Source organism: Homo sapiens, chromosome 1 (genome assembly GCF_000001405.40).
Source record: "Homo sapiens chromosome 1, GRCh38.p14 Primary Assembly".
NCBI classification, from domain to species: Eukaryota; Metazoa; Chordata; class Mammalia; order Primates; family Hominidae; genus Homo; species Homo sapiens.
The window spans coordinates 75,380,289-75,400,311 of NC_000001.11; the positions used below are offsets into that span (position 1 = coordinate 75,380,289).

At 38.1% G+C, this 20,023-nt stretch overlaps 1 protein-coding gene across 11 annotated transcripts in view; it reads right to left on the reverse strand.

Moving 5' to 3' along the window:
- SLC44A5 (solute carrier family 44 member 5) overlaps positions 1-20,023 on the reverse strand; it is a 521,887-nt gene that overhangs the window by 178,160 nt on the left and 323,704 nt on the right. For 7 of the 11 annotated variants that reach the window (XM_017000608.2, NM_001130058.2, NM_001320287.2 and 4 more), the window contains one exon: positions 16,295-16,333. The exons of 3 other annotated variants lie outside the window; for them this stretch is intronic. In XM_017000608.2, the coding sequence (XP_016856097.1) occupies positions 16,295-16,333 (39 nt within the window). Of the gene's footprint in view, positions 1-16,294; positions 16,334-18,066; positions 18,134-20,023 lie in introns of all 11 variants that reach the window. One more of the 11 variants, NM_001320285.2, reaches the window with a different exon arrangement.

Here is a 20,023-nt window from a genome sequence, read left to right on the forward strand (position 1 = left end):
TGTAGGACTAATCTTGGGAAGATCAAGTCTAAATCTAAAAGGAGTTCAAATTCATACTAGTGTGGTTGATTCAGACTATAAAGGTGAAATTCAATTGGTTATTAGCTCTTCAATTCCTTGGAGTGCCAGTCCAGGAGACAGGATTGCTCAATTATTACTCCTGCCATATATTAAGGATGGAAATAGTGAAATAAAAAGAATAGGAGGGCTTGTAAGCACTGATCCAACAGGAAAGGCTGCATATTGGGCAAGTCAGGTCTCAGAGAACAGACCTGTGTGTAAGGCCATTATTCAAGGAAAACTAATTTGGTGGAAAGATAATAAAAATAAGACATGGGAAATAGGTAAGGTGATAACGTGGGGGAGAGGTTTTGCTTGTGTTTCACCAGGAGAAAATCAGCTTCCTGTTTGGATACCCACTAGACATTTGAAGTTCTACAATGAACCCATCGGAGATGCAAAGAAAAGGGCCTCCACGGAGATGGTAACACCAGTCACATGGATGGATAATCCTATAGAAGTATATGTTAATGATAGTGAATGGGTACCTGGCCCCACAGATGATCGCTGCCCTGCCAAACCTGAGGAAGAAGGGATGATGATAAATATTTCCATTGGGTATCGTTATCCTCCTATTTGCCTAGGGAGAGCACCAGGATGTTTAATGGCTGCAGTCCAAAATTGGTTGGTGGAAGTACCTACTGTCAGTCCCATCAGTAGATTCACTTATCACATGGTAAGCGGGATGTCACTCAGGCCACGGGTAAATTATTTACAAGACTTTCCTTATCAAAGATCATTAAAATTTAGACCTAAAGGGAAACCTTGCCCCAAGGAAATTCCCAAAGAATCAAAAAATACAGAAGTTTTAGTTTGGGAAGAATGTGTGGCCAATAGTGCGGTGATATTACAAAACAATGAATTCGGAACTATTATAGATTGGGCACCTCGAGGTCAATTCTACCACAATTGCTCAGGACAAACTCAGTCGTGTCCAAGTGCACAAGTGAGTCCAGCTGTTGATAGCGACTTAACAGAAAGTTTAGACAAACATAAGCATAAAAAATTGCAGTCTTTCTACCCTTGGGAATGGGGAGAAAAAGGAATCTCTACCCCAAGACCAAAAATAGTAAGTCCTGTTTCTGGTCCTGAACATCCAGAATTATGGAGGCTTACTGTGGCCTCACACCACATTAGAATTTGGTCTGGAAATCAAACTTTAGAAACAAGAGATCGTAAGCCATTTTATACTGTCGACCTAAATTCCAGTCTAACAGTTCCTTTACAAAGTTGCGTAAAGCCCCCTTATATGCTAGTTGTAGGAAATATAGTTATTAAACCAGACTCCCAGACTATAACCTGTGAAAATTGTAGATTGCTTACTTGCATTGATTCAACTTTTAATTGGCAACACCGTATTCTGCTGGTGAGAGCAAGAGAGGGCGTGTGGATCCCTGTGTCCATGGACCGACCGTGGGAGGCCTCACCATCCGTCCATATTTTGACTGAAGTATTAAAAGGTGTTTTAAATAGATCCAAAAGATTCATTTTTACTTTAATTGCAGTGATTATGGGATTAATTGCAGTCACAGCTACGGCTGCTGTAGCAGGAGTTGCATTGCATTCTTCTGTTCAGTCAGTAAACTTTGTTAATGATTGGCAAAATAATTCTACAAGATTGTGGAATTCACAATCTAGTATTGATCAAAAATTGGCAAATCAAATTAATGATCTTAGACAAACTGTCATTTGGATGGGAGACAGACTCATGAGCTTAGAACATCGTTTCCAGTTACAATGTGACTGGAATACGTCAGATTTTTGTATTACACCCCAAATTTATAATGAGTCTGAGCATCACTGGGACATGGTTAGACGCCATCTACAGGGAAGAGAAGATAATCTCACTTTAGACATTTCCAAATTAAAAGAACAAATTTTCGAAGCATCAAAAGCCCATTTAAATTTGGTGCCAGGAACTGAGGCAATTGCAGGAGTTGCTGATGGCCTCGCAAATCTTAACCCTGTCACTTGGGTTAAGACCATTGGAAGTACTACAATTATAAATCTCATATTAATCCTTGTGTGCCTGTTTTGTCTGTTGTTAGTCTGCAGGTGTACCCAACAGCTCCGAAGAGACAGCGACCATCGAGAACGGGCCATGATGACGATGGCGGTTTTGTCGAAAAGAAAAGGGGGAAATGTGGGGAAAAGCAAGAGAGATCAGATTGTTACTGTGTCTGTGTAGAAAGAAGTAGACATAGGAGACTCCATTTTGTTATGTACTAAGAAAAATTCTTCTGCCTTGAGATTCTGTTAATCTATAACCTTACCCCCAACCCCGTGCTCTCTGAAACGTGTGCTGTGTCAACTCAGAGTTAAATGGATTAAGGGCGGTGCAAGATGTGCTTTGTTAAACAGATGCTTGAAGGCAGCATGCTCCTTAAGAGTCATCACCACTCCCTAATCTCAAGTACCCAGGGACACAAAAACTGCGGAAGGCCGCAGGGACCTCTGCCTAGGAAAGCCAGGTATTGTCCAAGGTTTCTCCCCATGTGATAGTCTGAAATATGGCCTCGTGGGAAGGGAAAGACCTGACCATCCCCCAGCCCGACACCCGTAAAGGGTCTGTGCTGAGGAGGATTAGTAAAAGAGGAAGGAATGCCTCTTGCAGTTGAGACAAGAGGAAGGCATCTGTCTCCTGCCTGTCCCTGGGCAATGGAATGTCTCGGTATAAAACCCGATTGTATGCTCCATCTACTGAGATAGGGAAAAACTGCCTTAGGGCTGGAGGTGGGACCTGCGGGCAGCAATACTGCTTTGTAAAGCATTGAGATGTTTATGTGTATGCATATCTAAAAGCACAGCACTTAATCCTTTACATTGTCTATGATGCAAAGACCTTTGTTCACGTGTTTGTCTGCTGACCCTCTCCCCACAATTGTCTTGTGACCCTGACACATCCCCCTCTTCGAGAAACACCCACAAATGATGAATAAATACTAAGGGAACTCAGAGGCTGGCGGGATCCTCCATATGCTGAACGCTGGTTCCCCGGTTCCCCTTATTTCTTTCTCTATACTTTGTCTCTGTGTCTTTTTCTTTTCCAAATCTCTCGTCCCACCTTACGAGAAACACCCACAGGTGTGTAGGGGCAACCCACCCCTACAATGGAAGATGAAATGAATGAAATGAAGCGAGAAGGGAAGTTTAGAGAAAAAAGAATAAAAAGAAATGAGCAAAGCCTCCAAGAAATATGGGACTATGTGAAAAGACCAAATCTACGTCTGATTGGTGTACCTGAAAGTGACGGGGAGAATGGAACCAAGTTGGAAAATACTCTGCAGGATATTATCCAGGAGAACTTCCCCAATCTAGCAAGGCAGGCCAACATTCAGATTCAGGAAATACGGAGAACGCCACAGAGATACTCCTCGAGAACAGCAACTCCAAGACACATAATTGTCAGATTCACCAAAGTTGAAATGAAGGAAAAAATGTTAAGGGCAGCCAGAGAGAAAGGTCGGGTTACCCTCAAAGGGAAGCCCATCAGACTAACAGCAGATCTCTCAGCAGAAACCCTACAAGCCAGGAGAGAGTGGGGGCCAATATTCAACATTCTTAAAGAAAAGAATTGTCAACCCAGAATTTCATATCCAGCCAAACTAAGCTTCATAAGCGAAGGAGAAATAAAATACTTTACAGACAAGCAAATGCTGAGAGATTTTGTCACCACCAGGCCTGCCCTAAAAGAGCTCCTGAAGGAAGCACTAAACATGGAAAGGAACTACCGGTACCAGCCGCTGCAAAATCATGCCAAAATGTAAAGACCATCTAGACTAGGAAGAAACTGCATGAACTAACGAGCAAAATAACCAGCTAACATCATAATGACAGGATCTAATTCACACATAACAATATTAACTTTACATGTAAATGGACTAAATGCTCCAATGGAAAGACACAGACTGGCAAATTGGATAAAGAGTCAAGACCCATCAGTGTGCTGTATTCAGGAAACCCATCTCACGTGCAGAGACACACATAGGCTCAAAATAAAAGGATGGAGGAAGATCTACCAAGCAAATGGAAAACAAAAAAAGGCAGGGGTTGCAATCCTAGTCTCTGATAAAACAGACTTCAAACCAACAAAGATCAAAAGAGACAAAGAAGGCCATTACATAATGGTAAAGGGATCAATTCAACAAGAAGAGCTAACTATCCTAAATATATATGCACCCAATACAGGAGCACCCAGATTCATAAAGCAAGTCCTGAGTGACCTACAAAGAGACTTAGACTCCCACACATTAATAATGGGAGACTTTAACACCCCACTGTCAACATTAGACAGATCAATGAGACAGAAAGTCAACAAGGATACCCAGGAATTGAACTCAGCTCTGCACCAAGCGGACCTAATAGACATCTACAGAACTCTCCACCCCAAATCAACAGAATATACATTTTTTTCAGCACCACACCACACCTATTCCAAAATTGACCACATACTTGGAAGTAAAGCTCTCCTCAGCAAATGTAAAAGAACAGAGATTATAACAAACTATCTCTCATACCACAGTGCAATCAAACTAGAACTCAGGATTAAGAATCTCACTCAAAACCACTCAACTACATGGAAACTGAACAACCTGCTCCTGAATGACTACTGGGTACATAATGAAATGAAGGCAGAAATAAAGATGTTCTTTGAAACCAATGAGAACAAAGACACAACATACCAGAATCTCTGGGACACATTCAAAGCAGCGTGTAGAGGGAAATACATAGCACTAAATGCCCACAAGAGAAAGCAGGAAAGATCCAAAATTGACACCCTAACATCACAATTAAAAGAACTAGAAAAGCAAGAGCAAACACATTCAAAAGCTAGCAGAAGGCAAGAAATAACTAAAATCAGAGCAGAACTGAAGGAAACAGAGACACAAAAAACCCTTCAAAAAATTAATGAATCCAGGAGCTGGTTTTTTGAAAGGATCAACAAAATTGATAGACCGCTAGCAAGACTAATAAAGAAAAAAAGAGAGAAGAATCAAATAGACACAATAAAAAATGATAAAGGGGATATCGCCACCAATCCCACAGAAATACAAACTACCATCAGAGAATACTACAAATATCTCTACGCAAATAAACTAGAAAATCTAGAAGAAATGGATAAATTCCTCGACACATACACTCTCCCAAGACTAAACCAGGAAGAAGTTGAATCTCTGAATAGACCAATAACAGGCTCTGAAATTGTGGCAATAATCAATAGCTTACCGACCAAAAAGAATCCAGGACCAGATGGATTCACAGCCAAATTCTACCAGAGGTATAAGGATGAGCTGCTACCATTCCTTCTGAAATTATTCCAATCAATAGAAAAAGAGGGACTCCTCCCTAACTCATTTTATGAAGCCAGCATCATTCTGATACCAAAGCCGGGCAGAGACACCACCAAAAAAGAGAATTTTAGACCAATATCCTTGATGAACATTGATGCAAAAATCCTCAATAAAATACTGGCAAAACGAATCCAGCAGCACATCCAAAAGCTTATCCACCATGATCAAATCGGCTTCATCCCTGGGATGCAAGGCTGGTTCAATATACGCAAATCAATAAATGTAATCCAGCATATAAACAGAACCAAAGACAAAAACCACATGATTATCTCAATAGATGCAGAAAAAGCCTTTGACAAAATTCAACAACCCCTCATGCTAAAAACTCTCAATAAATTAGGCATTGATGGGACGTATTTCAAAATAATAAGAGCTATCTATGACAAACCCACAGCCAATATCATACTGAATGGGCAAAAACTGGAAGCATTCCCTTTGAAAACTGGCACAAGACAGGGATGCCCTCTCTCACCACTCCTATTCAACATAGTGTTGGAAGTTTTGGCCAGGGCAATTAGGCAGGAGAAGGAAATAAAGGGTATTCAATTAGGAAAAGAGGAAGTCAAATTGTCCCTGTTTGCAGATGACATGATTGTATATCTAGAAAACCCCATTGTCTCAGCCGAAAATCTCCTTAAGCTGATAAGCAACTTCAGCAAAGTCTCAGGATACAAAATCAATGTGCAAAAATCACAAGCATTCCTATACACCAACAACAGACAAACAGAGAGCCAAATCATGAGTGAAATCCCATTCACAATTGCTTCAAAGAGAATAAAATACCTAGGAATCCAACTTACAAGGGATGTGAAGGACGTCTTCAAGGAGAACTACAAACCGCTGCTCAAGGAAATAAAAGAGAATACAAACAAATGGAAGAACATTCCATGCTCATGGGTAGGAAAAGTCAATATCGTGAAAATGGCCATACTGTCCAAGGTAATTTACAGATTCAATGCCATCCCTATCAAGCTACCAATGACTTTCTTCACAGAATTGGAAAAAACTACTTTAAAGTTCATATGGAACCAAAAAAGAGCCCGCATCGCCAAGGCAATCCTAAGCCAAAAGAACAAAGCTGGAGGCATCACACTACCTGACTTCAAACTATACTACAAGGCTACAGTAAGCAAAACAGCATGGTACTGGTACCAAAACAGAGATATAGATCAATGGAACAGAACAGAACCCTCAGAAATAACGCCGCATATCTACAACTATCTGATCTTTGACAAACCTGAAAAAAACAAGCAATGGGGAAAGGATTCCCTATTTAATAAATGGTGCTGGGAAAACTGGCTAGCCATATGTAGAAAGCTGAAACTGGATCCCTTCCTTACACCTTATACAAAAATCAATTCAAGATGGATTAAAGACTTACAAGTTAGACCTAAAACCATAAAAATCCTAGAAGAAAACCTAGGCATTACCATTCAGGACATAGGCTTGTGCAAGGACTTCATGTCTAAAATACCAAAAGCAACGGCAACAAAAGCCAAAATTGACAAATGGGATCTAATTAAACTAAAGTGCTTCTGCGCAGCAAAAGAAACTACCATCAGAGTGAACAGGCAACCTACAAAATGGGAGAAAATTTTCGCAACCTACTCATCTGACAAAGGGCTAATATCCAGAATCTACAATGAACTCAAACAAATTTACAAGAAAAAAACAAACAACCCCATCAAAAAGTGGGCGAAGGACATGAACAGACACTTCTCAAAAGAAGACATTTATGCAGCCAAAAAACACATGAAAAAATGCTCATCATCACTGGCCATCAGAGAAATGCAAATCAAAACCACAATGAGATACCATCTCACACCAGTTAGAATGGCAATCATTAAAAAGTCAGGAAACAACAGGTGCTGGAGAGGATGTGGAGAAATAGGAACACTTTTACACTGTTGGTGGGACTGTAAACTAGTTCAACCATTGTGGAAGTCAGTGTGGCGATTCCTCGGGGATCTAGAACTAGAAATACCATTTGACCCAGCCATCCCATTACTGGGTATATACCCAAAGGACTATAAATCATGCTGCTATAAAGACACATGCACACGTATGTTTATTGCGGCATTATTCACAATAGCAAAGACTTGGAACCAACCCAAATGTCCAACAATGATAGACTGGATTAAGAAAATGTGGCACATATACACCATGGAATACTATGCAGCCATAAAAAATGATGAATTCATGTCCTTTGTAGGGACATGGATGAAATTGGAAATCATCATTCTCAGTAAACTATCGCAAGAACAAAAAACCAAACACCACATATTCTCACTCATAGGTGGGAATTGAACAATGAGATCACCTGGACACAGGAAGGGGAATATCACACTCTGGTGACTGTTGTGGGGTGGGGGGAGGGGGGAGGGATAGCATTGGGAGATATACCTAATGCTAGATGACGAGTTAGTGGGTGCAGCGCACCAGCATGGCACATGTATACATATGTAACTAACCTGCACAATGTGCACATGTACCCTAAAACTTAAAGTGTAATAAATAAATAAATAAATAAATAAATCCAAAAAAAAACAGTATTAAAAAAAAAAAAAGAAAATTCATTACCACTAGACCAGTTTTATAAGAGACACTTAAAGGAGTTCTAAATGTGGAAATAAAAGAATAATACTTGCTACCACAAAAACACATAAGTACATAGTCCACAGAACCTATAAAAAATAACTACACAATTGAGACTACAAAGTATCCAGCTAACAACTACACAATTGAGACTACAAAGTATCCAGCTAACAACATCACAACAGGATCAAAACCTCACATATCGTCCATGTGCAGTGGCTCATGCCTGTAATTCCAGCACTTTGGGAGGCCGAGGCGGGTGGATCACGAGGTCAGGAGATCAAGACCATCCTGGCTAACGTGGTGAAACCCTGTCTCTACTAATAATACAAAAATTAGCCAGGCGTGGTGGCGGGCGCCTGTGGTCCCAGCAACTTGGGAGGCTGAGGCAGGAGAATGGCATGAACCCGGGAGGCAGAGCTTGCAGTGAGCCGAGATCGCTCCACTGCACTCCAGCCTGGGCAACAGAGCGAGACTCCGTCTAAAAAAAAAAAAAACAAACAAAAACTCACATATCAATATTAACCTTGAATATAAGTGGCCTAAACACCCCACTAAAAGGCATAGAGTGGCAAATTGGATTTTTCTTTTAAAAAAAAGACCCAACCTTTCTCTGTCTTCAAGAGACACATATCATGTGTAACAACACCTATAGGCTCATTGCTCCTGAATGACTTTTGGGATAGAAAAAGGTCTATCAAATAAACAGGAAATGAAAAAGAGCAGGAGTGGCTATTCTTGTATGAGATAAAACAGGATTTAAACTCACAACAGAAAAAAAGACAAAAAAAGGGTATTACATAATGATAAAGCGTTCATTTAAACAAAAAAGACATATTTGCCCTAAATATATACGCACTCAACACTGGAGCACTCAGATTCATAAAACAGGTACTTCTACACCTATGGAAAGACTTAAACATCCAATAATAATGGAGAACCTCAATACCCTAACTAAGAGTGTTAGATCATCAAGGCAGAAAACTAACAAAGAAATTCTGGACTAAATTCAATTCTTGACCAACCGGACCTAAAAGACATCTACAAGATACTACCCAACAACCACAGAATATACATTCTTCTCATGTGCATATGGAATATAGTCTAAGATCAACCACATTCTTGGCCATAAAACAAGTCTCAATAAATTTTAAAAAACTGAAATCACACTAGACATATTCTCAGACCACAGTGGAATAAAAATATATATCAACGCCAAGAGGATTTCTCAAAACCACACAACTACATGAAAAGTAAGCTCCTGAATGACTTTTGGGTAACCAACAAAATTAATGAAATAAAAAAATTCTTTGAAATAAATGAAAAGAGAGACACAACATAGCAAAATCTCTGGGATGCAGCAAAAGCAGTGTTAAGAGGAAAGTTTATAGCACTACATACCTATATTGAGAAGTTAGAAAAATCTCAAATTAACAATCTAATATCACACTTAGAGGAACTAGAAAAACAAGAACAAACTAATCCCAAAGCTGGCAGAAGAAAATAAATTACTAAAATCAGAAGAGAACTAATTGACATTGAGATGCCAAAATTCATTAAAAAGGATCAACAAAACAAAAAATTGGTTCTTTGAAAGGAGAAACAAATAACGCCAATAGACTACTAGCTAGATTAAAAAAGAAAAAAAGAGAGACAATTCAAATGAGCACAATGCCAACGACAATGGTGACATTACAACCAATCCCATAGAAATACAAAAGATCCTCAGAGACAACTATGAATACATCTATCTAAACAAACTAAAAAATCTAGAGGAAATGGGTAAATTCATAGTCTCCCAAGATTTAATCAGGAAGAAACTGAAACACTGAACAGGCCAATAATGAATTCTGAAATAGAGCCAGTAACAAAAAATGTACCAACCAAAAAAAGCCCTGTAGCAGACAAACTCAGAGCCAAATTCTACCAGGTGTATAAAGAAGAGCTGGTACCAATCTTACTGAAACTATTCCAAAAAATCAAGGAGAGGAGACTCCTCCCTAATTCATTCTACAAAACCAGCATCATTCTGATACCAAAATCTGGCAAAGACACAAGAAACAAAGAAAACTCCAGGCCAATACCCTTGATGAACTTAGACACAAAAATCCTTAACAAAAAAAAAAAAAAAATGAGCAAATCAAATCCAGCAGCACATCAATAAGCTAATTCATCCTATCAATTAAGATTTATTCCTGGGATGCAAGGTTGGTTCAACATACATGAATCAATAAATGTGACTCATCACATCAACAGAATTAAAAACAAAGACCATATGATCATCTCAATAGATGCAAAGAAAGCTTTTGATAAAATCCAATATCCCTTCATAATAAAAACTCTCAGTTTTTTAAAAATCTTCAAATGTCTAACAAAACTAAGCATTAAAGAAGCATACCTCAAAATAATGAGCAATTTATGAAAAACCTGTAGCCAACATCATACTAAAAGAGCAAAAACTGGAAGCATTTCCCTTGAGGAACTAGAACAAGACAAGGATCCTCACTCTCACCACTCCTATTCAGTATAGTACTGGAAGTCCTAGCTAGTGCAATCAGGTGAGAGAACAAAACAAAACGGATCTAAATAGGAAAAGAATATGTAAAATTGTCCATCTCCACTGAAGATAGAACTCGATACAAAGAAAACTCTAAAGACTCTCTTGAAAGACTCCTAAACATAATAAATGACTTCAGTAAAGTTTTAGGATACAAAATCAATGTAAAAATCTAGTAGCATTTCTGTACAGCAGTAACATTCAAGCTGATAGCCAAATCAAAAATACAATCCCATTTACAATAGCCAAAAATAAAATAAAATACCTAGGAATACATTTAACCAATGGTGTAAAATAGAGAACTACAAGGAGAACTACCAAACACTGCTGAAAGAAATCATAGATGACACAATCAAATGAAAAAATGAAAAAATATTCCTTGCACATAGATTGGAAGAATCAATATTGTTTAAATGGCCATACTGCCCAAAGCAATATACAGATTCAACATTATGCCTATCAAACCACCAACACCATTTTTTGCAGAATTAGAAAAAACTAATCTAAAATTTATATAAAACCAAAAAAGAGCCCAAATAGCCAAAGCATCCTAAACAAAAAGAACAAAGTTGGCATCACATTACCCAACTTCAGACATCACATTACCTAATTTCAAACTATACTATAAGGCTACAGTAATCAAAACAGCATGGTACTGACATAAAAACAGACGTATAGACCCATGGAATAGAATAGAGAACTCAGAAATAAAGCTGCACTCCTACAACCAACTGACTTTCAACAAAGCCAACAATAATAAGCAATAAGGAAAGGACTCCCTGTTTAATAAATGGTGTTGTGGTAGCTGGCTATCCATATGCAAAAGAAAGAAACTAGACCTCCTACCTATCACCATATACAAAACTTAACTCGTGATGGATTGAATATTTAAATGTAAGACCTCAAACTATAAGAATACTAGAACACCACCTAGGAAATAACCTTCTAGACATTGGTCTTGGCAAAGAATTTAGAACTAAGTCCACAAAAGCAATTTTAACAACAACGACAAAAAAATTAAGCCAGGCACAGTGGCTCACACCTGTAATCCCAGCACTTTGGGAGGCCAAGATGGGTGGATTGCTTGAGTCTGGAAGTTTGAGACCAGCCTGGGCAACATAGTGAGACCCCCATCTCTACAAAAAGCATAGAAATTAGCCAGGCATCGTGGCACATAGTCCCAACTACTCAGAAGGCCAAGATGGAAGGATTACTGGAGCCTAGGAAGGTCTATGCTGCAGTGAGCCATGATCACGCCACTGTACTTCAGCCTGAGGGACAGAATGGGAACCTGTCTCAAAAAAAAAAATTGACAAGTGGGACCTAATTAAACTGAAGAGCTTCTGCACAGCAAGAGAAACTATCAACAGGTAAAGAGACAACTGACATAATGGGATAAAATATTAATAGCAAACTATGCACCCAACAAAGGTCTAATATCCAGAATCTATAAGGAACTTAACCAAACAAGTAAAAAACAATTCCATTAAAAGGTGGACAAGATACTTCAAAAAGAAGATATACAAGTGGCCAAGAAACAAACGAAAAAAATGCTTCACATCATGCATCATCAGAGAAATGCAAATCAAAACCACAAAGCAATACCATCTCACACCAGTGAGAGTGGTAATTATAAAAAAGTTAAAAAATAACAGATGTTGGTGAGTACACAGAGAAAAAGGAACTCTTTATGCTGTTGGTAGGAATGTAAATGAGTTCAGTCACTGTGGAAAGCAGTTTGGAGATTTCTCAAAGAAGCAAAAATAGAACTACTGCTCAACCTAGCAATCCCATTGCTTGGTATATATCCAAAGGAAAAGAAATTGTTCTACCAAAAAGACACCTGCACTTGTATGTTTATTGCACCAGGATTCACAATAGCAAAGATATGGAATCAAACTAGGTGCCCATCAACAGTGGAATGGATAAAGAAACTGTGGTACATATACACCAGGGAATACTATGCAGCCACAAAAAGAGAGAAATTATGTCCTTTGAAGCAACATGGATGTAGGTGGAGGCCATCATCCTAAGTTAATTGATGCAGAAATAGAAAGCCAAACACTGCATATTTTCCCGTATAAGTGGGAGCTAAACATTGGGTACATACAGACATAAACATGGGAACAATAGACACTAGGGACTATAAGATGGGAGTGAGGATGGGGACAAGGGTTGAAAATCAACCTATTGGGTACTCTGCTCACTATTTGGGTGACAGATTCTACCTCAATAGTTCTATCCCAAACCCTCACGTCATGCAATATACTCTTGTAACAAGCCTGCACATGTGCCCTCTGAATCTAAAATAAAATTTGAAATTCAAAGAATAAGATAGAAAAATATCTAAACACTGTTTTCATTGTCTCGCATGTCATGCAGATCTTTGCCTAAAAAAGCTGGAAAGCCATCTCAACTTTCTTTGATTTGGCTAAGGAAGTGTTATTTGAAGGATTATTATGAAACAAGTATTGATACCTCATTTAAAAAGACTCTCTGTATACATACACATATGCCCATACATATGTATACATATGACAATGTAATCATGTTTTATGTTATTACAAAGGGTTAAAAACTCTTCTTTATCCTGTATACTTTAAAGTAATATATGTTTATGTTAGGTTATAAATAAAGATTTTGACATGTCAGAATCAAATTGGTAGGGGCAAAGTAGCCAATATCCAAAATGGCATACTGTACTTTAGGCTAATATATTTGCTTTTGTGGTTTGATAATTATGTACTATAAATTAGATAAAATGTGATAAATGAAAAAAGTAATATTGACTCATTAGAATTGTGCTTTGAGCATTTTAAATAGCAGTTGGTTATTTATTTGCTCACTTCACAACTTGATTTTGAAAATAGGAACTGTAATTATAAACAGATTTGTCTGATTATTTTGTGGAGAATAGACCAGAGTAGGGTAATAGCTGCAGATAAAAATGAGTTAGGAGGTAATGGTAGGTATCTAACTGAGAAATAACAGTTGTTTGAATGAAGCAATTTAGTGGAGATGGTGAGTGGTGATGCCCTTATTAGAGAAAGGAAGGTAGACACAAGAGCAGATTTGGTGGGGTATAAAGTCAAATAAATAAGTCCAGGGCAAGAAAGAGCAATCAGGGCTAGAGATGTAAATCTAGGACTTAACAGCACATTCATGGTATTTAAAACTATGGGATCAGATACAATTACCTAGAAAAGTCAGAGAAAATGCATCCTGGGGGCTCTCCAACACCCAGACTTTAAGTGTGAGCGACTGGCCAGAGAAGGAGAGATCAGAGAGTCAGGAGGAAACCCAGGAGAGTGTGGTATCTTGGAAGCAGAAGAGGAAAGTTTAAAAAAGTAGAGTGGCTGAGCATGCTAAATGCTGCTGAGAGAGAGTAAGGTGAGGAAAAGAATTCTGTAATGGAAGAGCAAGATACAAGTCTGTGGAAATGATAAAAAACTGTTTCATGAAGTAATGCAGATACAACTCCAGTTGGAGTGGGTTAATGAGAGAATAGGAGAAAAGTGGAGTCAATGCCTATAAACAATTCTTTTGAGTTTTAGCGTGATGAAAGGGTTAATTGATCATTTTTTTTAAATAAATTTCAGGCGGCTGTATTAAGGCATATTTACATGTAGGCAAGAGAGAGAGGGGATAATTGCAAGAGCAAAGTCTTTGAAGAGGCAATGCTGATAGAGGTACTATGAGCCTTGGAAAGGATGAGGTCAACCCTTCCCTGTAACAGAAGAGGAAGTGAAACGAGCCACTGGCTTTGGTGGGCCTCAGCTTCTTTGGAACACAAGGCTGTTGAAGAATGTGTCCTATGGGTTAACACCAATAACACTCCAGTTCTCCCAAGCTTACCCCCATTGTTAGCACAGTTAAGCTTTCTTTAATATCAGGCTCTTAAAAAGAAGTGTAAATGTGGAGTGAATGAACCAAAAAGAAAAGACAAAAATGCCATCATCCACCCAATTGAAATCCAAGGCCTGTTTATCCACTCACCCCTGAATACTGAGTGCACCCCAGATCTTAGGATCTGGGAGTGTTTCCCTCTGCTGAGATGCACTTTTAGTGGATGCAAAACCAACAGTTCCTCCTGGGCCATGACTCAGCAGAGTTATCCCAGTAATACCTTGTCTGGGAGAATGGAAATGGCATAGTACAATATCCTATATTGAACCTTTCCTCTTTCTTTTACTTCTGTCCATTCAAGCAGAAGCAGCACTCAGTGGTACTTCTCTCCTTGGGCTACTTTATATCAGAAGTGGAGTGTTTTTCCTCATTAGCTTATTTATCTCATAAACCTTGTGAGAAAGATGAGGGCTTTATTTTAGGCCTAATTACTTTATTCCAAGTGAGAAGACAAGGTATATGAATAAAAACATAACTCAGATCATACTGAGCAAAAAACATTATTTTGACCCATGATACATTTTGAGGCAGAATGATTCAGACTTCTGATGGCACAAAAAAGACTTGACCTCTACTTTGTTTTAAGGTAGGAAAAAACCATCTGCTGATACATTTTTTACCTTTTTATTTCAACCCCTGAGATTAAAAAATTACAAATGGAAATTTACAAAATAGCCTCTACAAAAGTTTCTATTACCTACCTTTCTACCTTATATGATCATATATGATTAAGTAACAAAATCTATATGAAGGAATTTTGAAACTGTAAAATGCTATCTAAGTGTGAGAACAAACAGCAGCATCTAAGTAGGTAAAATTAAAGTACATGAGAGTCAATAAATGGGTTTTGAGAAAAGAGGCAGGAAAGTACATGTATGATCATATTTTCTTATACATTTATTTAATCGACAAACAATAATTGTGTATATTTATGGGTTGCAATGTGATGTTTTGCTCTATGTATATATACATTGTAGAAAGATTAAGTTAAGCTAATTAACATATCCATCACCTTGCTATGGTGATCACCGTTAATAATAATGTATTGCATATTTTAAAATTGCTAATAGAATGGACTTTTAACATTCTCACCACATATATAATAATCTTTTATTTGAAGATTGGGGATCCAAGTAATGTTGGAAGTCACCGAGTAAAAGTACTTATTTATATACCTCAGGGGCAATGAGATTGCACAAAGGAAGAGAAATTCTTGAAGCCAGTGCTGCTGAAATTTTTGTTTGCACATGAATCACCTGAGAATCTTCTGAAGGTGCAGATTCTGATTCAATAAGTCTGGGATGGGACTTGAGATGCTGAATTTCCAACTCCCAGGTCCTACTCATGCTGCTGGTCTACAGACCACACTTTGAGTAGCAAGAATCAACTCTATGGGGCTGACTAAGGAGAGAGCCGGCTGTCGGAAAAAGAAGACTGAATAATACACACATAGTGTCATGAAAGCTGGAGAGTGAAGGTGTTTATTGGAGAGAGAGATTTGAACAAGACTCATGTGTCAAAGTCACAAACTGAGCTGAAAGGAAGGAAAGAAGACAAGATGTGTCAGGTGAGCTGGGGTGATAAAGCATCAGTAGCTGCATGATGTTTTTCCTGGGAAATTCATTTACAACTCCAAAAAGAGGGAACCCTTTCAGGAAGGAGAAACAGACAGTTGAAAGAAGAATCCAAAAAAAGCTTCAGTCAGCAATTATTCTTTACCAAACAAATATTTCGCTATTCCTAGATTTTAAAAGAATCACATATTTCTCAATGGATAGACTGTCATGAAAGATTCTTAGCACTTAATACTCAGACTATGACTTACCAAAGTCCTCTTCCTCAGAGGGAGTATCTGCTGGTTTTTCTAGGAAAAAGCACAAAAGGCAAAAAAAATATTTGTAGGGGCTGATGACTCTGAGGTTCTATACACATCTCTCCTTATCCTAAAAAATCTTAGTCTTTAGACTAACACACAAAATAACATAAGGCAGTTGGACTGGTTGAAGTAATTCTTTATACACAAAGCTGCCAATAATGAGCATTTATTCTTAAGAAGTTACCAAAAAAATAATTCATGAAGGTGCTGGAGGTAAGAGGTTTGGGGATGATGAAATAAAGCTGTTAATTCTTCCATTTGCATCTATGACTTGTATAATGTAGGTGATATGTAGAGACTTGAAAAATTCATTACTAAGAAATGAGGCATTTTGTTTACTTTCATTTTCTGTTCCTGCTTTAAACTTCAGAAGACACATTAGTCATGAAAAACTTAATATGCATTAAATACCTTTTATTACATGCAGAATAGCCAGTGTAGCCTAGGGAAAAGAGATATATTTTGAATTCAGCAGTCCCACCTTAATCACACTACGTGTGGCCTTTAGCTTTAACAGAAACTCCCATGTGATAACTATGAATGACTCTATTCAATTTGGAAGGTACAAATTATGGTAATTTTGGGGAATGGGGAGGTGGCACGTGCCATAATGAACAATAACAGCATCCTAATGCTTCAAGTGTCACATATGTTAAACAAAAACACTAATGCTTTCTATGAACACCCCATTCTCTGGTGCTTTATCAGACTTGCCAACTCATTAATTAGAGCTATTGAAAAGAATTCCGTCTATAGACCTCATGGGCAGAGATTACAATGCTTGGTTTCCCCATTGATTTTTCATCAATCGGACTAACAGTAGCAAATCATTGAGAGTCAGAGTTGGGGTAAAGATTCCAGGGAAAGCGAACATTTGTAAATTGTGTTCCTTTGGGAAAAATAATAATAACGATAATTAAAATAGTAACCAACTTTTGAACACTTACTATGCACCAGGTGCCATGTTTCATTTATGTTATCTCATTTAATATTCACAACAAGCCTTGCAGTAGTTACAATAATCGGTTCACTTCTAAAAATGAGAATCCAAGGTTCCCAGAGGCAACGTGAACTTTTGGGTCTAATCTTTGTTTAAAGTCACACTGCTAGTAAGTGGGGAACCTGGAATTCAAACTTAGGTCTGTGTGCTCCAGAGTCCATTTGTAATCAATATAACTACTAGCCTCCAGTAATGTCAAATGTATGAGAAAAATAAAGATTACTCATAACATTTTCAGGATATTCCCCACCACCACACACACACCTTTAAAACTAGCAATGCTGACCCACATTCATTAGGATGGTAAGCATTATTAGGGACATACAGGTTTCACACTTACCATTTAAAAAGCTAAATGAAGTGCCCAAAATATAAAATGGCCATCCCTTGCTGATTTTCTTAAAATAGTATGTACGTGCAAGGATTGGCACCTGAGAGGTAGAATAAAATGAATAAAATGTCAAGATACAATACGGACTACCTTTTTCCTGTTCCTGGGCCCTAAATGACTGAGTTTGCCTTTAATGTTCCGAATACATTTTTAAAAAACAACAAAATTCGAGGTTCATGGTTATCTTAAAAGGTTACATGTCATAGCTTTTTGTATCATGCACTTCTAATCACATTTTAGCTTATATAATAACAGTGGTCAGCCTCTGCCTCCAGCCCTCTACTCCAATTTTCTCCAGCTCCCTCAGCTATATAAACTAGTAAATTTCACCTGCAGACCCAGTCCCATTTGGAATCAGTGCCGGGTATAGCAGGAAGCATGTCAGTAATCTCAGACCCTGCCAATGAGAGGAGAAGGGAACTGGTAGTTACTATAATGTAGGTGTTTCACAGATGAAGTTAAATCCTCTTAACAACCATACACTGTATCATATACCCCATTTTACACTTGAGAATACTGAAACTAGGCTGGTGAAAATATTTGACCAACGTTGTACCTTGTCATTGGTTAAGGAACAAACAAAGCAAACAAAGAAAGCAGGATCTAGGTGGTCTCCATCTCCCAGGCTAAATTCCATACAGTATAGTTTTGACTCCTCTTTCTCAATTTTGCATAATGAATCAAAAAAAGCAAAGTTCATATTTTGGCATGATCAGTTTACAAGATGGTTGAGCCTGCTTTCTGTAACAGCTTATGTCTTTTTCAAAACTTGTTTAGGAGAACATTCGTATCTTATGTAGGCTGCCTTCTGGTGTCTGCGTAAGATACCAAAGCCATACTATTTTGACCTTGACAACAACTGGGAAGACTGGAATCTAGTGTGAGAGAAGTTCTTGGACATTCACCCTGCCTGCTTATATCTAGTATAGTAAATTTAGAATGAAGTTTCAGACTAGGAGCCAAAAGAGTCATACTTTCCAGTTTTATTGCTGGGCCTTTTACCACACTTCATTCCCTTTTGTCTTTCTTGCTTGGAAGGTCTGTTCAGGGGGATGAGAACTGGTAGGAGATGGAGGTGGAGGAGGGGGTAGCAATGAGTGGAACGCATTGATGTGAGTCCTGCTCCTATTGTGTCATCCTGAGACCTTATTAAAAAGAAGCAAGACCCTAGACCCATAATCAAGCACAGCATCACTAATGATGGGTCAACCGGATGTTGTTTCTCCTGATGTAAGGCAATAGAGTTTATACGGCATACCTAGCTAGTATGTATTCTGGCTGAAAATACCCAACAGGAGCCACCACCAATGATTTATATTTAATCTAACCTACACATAAGAAATAAAGAAGATAAATAAACTAAATGAAATCACTGGAAAGGAACTAAACAAATCCAGAAAGTGAGATATTCTCGAGGGCAATAGGTCAGTGTCAGAGGAAAAGGGGAGTGTGCTAATCAGAAGAGACTTCAGGGACATAGCTACCAGATGCAAGGTCTGGCCCTGGATTAGACCCTGATTTGGACAGAATGTGGTAAATACAGTGTTGGGGGACAATTGGGGCAATCTGAATTAGAATGAATATTAGCTAAATTTAACATTTGTTGTAATGGAAAGATGGAAAATCTTAACAGAAAAAAAGCAGGTAGCAAAAAGCATGTAAAAGCAAAATCTCATTATTGTAAAAAAATTGTATATCTGGAAGGAAATATAAGAACGGTTTTATCAGTGGTGATTAAAATATGTTGCTTTATTTAGTTAAATTTTACTTTGATGTTTTCTTTGACTTTCTGTAATGCATGTAAAACTGCTTTTATAAGCAATCTACAGATCTTTTTACAAAAAAATACCTGCACTCATATGTTTATTGCAGAACTGTTCGAAATACCAAAGTTATTGAATCAACCTAAGTGTTCACCAACAGTAGGTTAGATAAAGAAAATGTGGTACATACACAACCATGGAATACTAAGCCGCTGTTAAAAAGAATGAAATCATGTCCATAGCAGCAACGTGGGTGAAGCTGGAGGCCATTATCCAAAGTGAATCAGCACAGAAACCGAAAATCAAGCACCACATTTTCTCACTTACAAGTGGGAGCTAAACCAAGGGAATATGTAGACATAAAGATGAAAACAATAGACATTCATGACTCTAAGAAAGGAGAGGAAAGGATGGGGATACAAGGGTTGACAAACAACATATTAGGTACTATGTTCACTATATTTGGGTGATGGGTTCCATAAAAGTCCAAACCCCAGCATTATGCAATATACTCACATAACAAA